General features: G+C 46.4%; 1 annotated feature.

The window, feature by feature from the left end:
- Positions 1,280–1,429: an enhancer, noted in NCBI's record as "active region_27928". NCBI's record gives its function as "activates an Ori minimal core promoter by ATAC-STARR-seq in GM12878 lymphoblastoid cells {active_cell/tissue: GM12878}" and the evidence as "EXISTENCE:reporter gene assay evidence [ECO:0000049][PMID:35858748]".

Below are 2,586 nucleotides of genomic sequence, written 5' to 3'. Positions count from 1 at the left end.
AAGTGCTAAGCAAATATTGTAGCAAAGACTGCTATTATTCTTCAATTTCATATTCCCCTTCCTCCACAGCTAGAAACATGGCTGTTCAGAATAAAGACTACATTTCCCAGACTTTCTTGCAGATCAGGAGTGGTCATATGACTTAAGTTCTGCCAATGGGATGTAAACAGAGTATCATGTGGAAGATTCCCTTTGCTTCTGGGAAACTTTTTGACAGACAGCTGGCCCACTCATTGGGCCCCCTTCTTCCCACCTTCCTCCATCTGTGTTTGGAAAGTGAATGTCACTCCTGAAGCTCTATCTTGGGTCATGAGTACAGTGGCTAAGCCCTGGGCAGAGTGGAGTAGAAGGTCTAATGGTGCAGGTCCCTGAGAACTTTGTGGAGCAGAACCTTCATGGCAGGATTAGATTAACTGTGGATATTTACATGAGAGATAAATAAATAGCTATTTAAGCCACTGTCATTTTGAGTTTTCTATCACTCACAACTGGACCTAATTCTAACCCACATAAATATGGTTTGCTATCATTACTAATGGCATGCCAAAATGCCCTTTCTAACAAGGGATATTATTCAATAGAATGGGATGGACAACATCAACTCCCAGTGAAAACAACATTATAGGAGAGACTGTGCAAGCTTCCTTTAAGGTTATTACAGAACAGAATCTTCCCTCAGCTGGAATCCAAGGACCAGCAACCCAGTGGGCATGAAACCTATGTGCAGAGTAGGATCCATGACAGAAGTCAAGCCATATCATGAATAATTCATGGAAAATATATTCCCAAAGCACCTACTATGTGCCAGATGCTCAGGCTGCGTGAGAGCTGAGATACGGTCCTGCTCTCAAGTGGCTTACAGTCTGGTGGGAGACACATAATGGCAACACCATGGCATCCATGCACTAAAGAACACATTTCAGGTGCTATGGAAATGTGACAGTGGAAAGACACTGGCATTCTGGTAAGGAACCAAGCAGAAAATCAGGAAAGATTTCTTAGAGGAGCATTTAAGCTTGGTCTTGACCAGACACGGTGGCTAACGCCTGTAATCTCAGCATTTTGGGAGGCTAAGCAGGTGGATCACCTGAGGTCAGGAGGTCAGGAGTTCGAGACCAGCCTGACCAACATGGTGAACCATGTCTACTAAACCAACCATCTCTACTAAAAAATACAAAAATTATCCAGGTGTGGTGGCATGTGCCCATGTGCCTGTAATCCCAGCTACTCAGGAGGCTGAGGCAGGAGAATTGCTTGAACCCAGGAAGCAGAGGTTGCAGTGAGCCAAGATCATGCCATTGCACTCCAGACTGGGCAACAAGAGTGAAACTCTGTGTCAAAAAAAAAAAATAAAGATGGAAAGACATTTAAGCTTGGTCTTAATGGAAAAATGGGAGTTATCCAGAAAGAGAAGAGAGGAGAAAACATCCCAGCCAGAGCACAGAGCGCAGAGGCAAGAAAATGTTGGTTGGAAACCCAGAGCAGATGCCACAGTGCCACAGACCACAGAGTAGCCCCGGAGGGAGTGGCCAGCCCAGGTGAACCCCATGAGCCTTCCCAGGTTTCACTTGCAGGGTGACTCAGAGGATGACGTGGAACTGCTGTGGGCTCCCCAGTGGTTTTTTTCACAGAAGCAGCTTCTGCATTTCAGGTCATTGCAGTGAGTAAGGACACAGACAGGCTTTATAGATAGAAAGTGAGACTATATCAAAGTGCTCAAAGCAGGAAGAGAGAGATGTGGGGCAAGGAAAAGAGAGGAGAGCAGCATTGATTCCATTTTCGGAGACAACACAAAAGGCAGGCCCGCTACCTCCTTGCCTGTTCTGCTCAGTGAAGAGAGAATCTCAACCCCCAGCTACGTGTCCCCAAAGGGTCAAATGGGATCATCACAGAGCCTCCCCGGGTGACTTGGCCTTGTCTTTTACACAGAACTGTAGCATCCCCTGCCACAGAGTATTTGGACAAGGCTTTGGGGCTTCTGAGAGCCATTCCCCACCATGCCCTGCCGTCCTGGGAGCATGCCTACCAGAAATCCAGGACACAATTCACGTCTTCTCGGACCTGCACACACTCAGCCGCTGGCCCGGCTGGAACTCAGCTGAGCCCCTATGTGGACGGTTCAAGAAAAACAATGCCTGACAGAATGAAACCTCACTTCCTCATGTGTAACCTGACATGAGGGCTTTCCCCACAACCCTTCATGGAAGCACAGGTTTCCACACTGCTTAGATGAGAAACAGAGGTTTGAAGTAATCATGCCAAAGCTCAGGCCAAGTCAGTGATGCTCTTGTCACTGTGTTGTGGCTGCTAGGAGGAGACGGTATCTGTTCCTGACCCAAAAAGTCCCATTTCACATTTCACAAGTCATATATGACTAAAGATGATCACTGTCAGCCCCCCAGCTCAAGGACAGGAGCATCTAAAATAAATCATCTACCAGACACTAACATAAATCATTTCATTTCAGCCTTACCATGACTACGATAAGGTCAGAATCATGACACCAATTGTACAGACATTGGGGGAGCTAAAAGTGATTTATCAAAGATCCAAGAACCAGTGACAGAAGATGGCATCCCAAAACCT

Source organism: Homo sapiens, chromosome 8 (assembly GCF_000001405.40).
Source record: "Homo sapiens chromosome 8, GRCh38.p14 Primary Assembly".
Lineage (NCBI taxonomy): Eukaryota > Metazoa > Chordata > Mammalia > Primates > Hominidae > Homo > Homo sapiens.
This window is presented reverse-complemented; position numbering and strand designations above follow the sequence as displayed.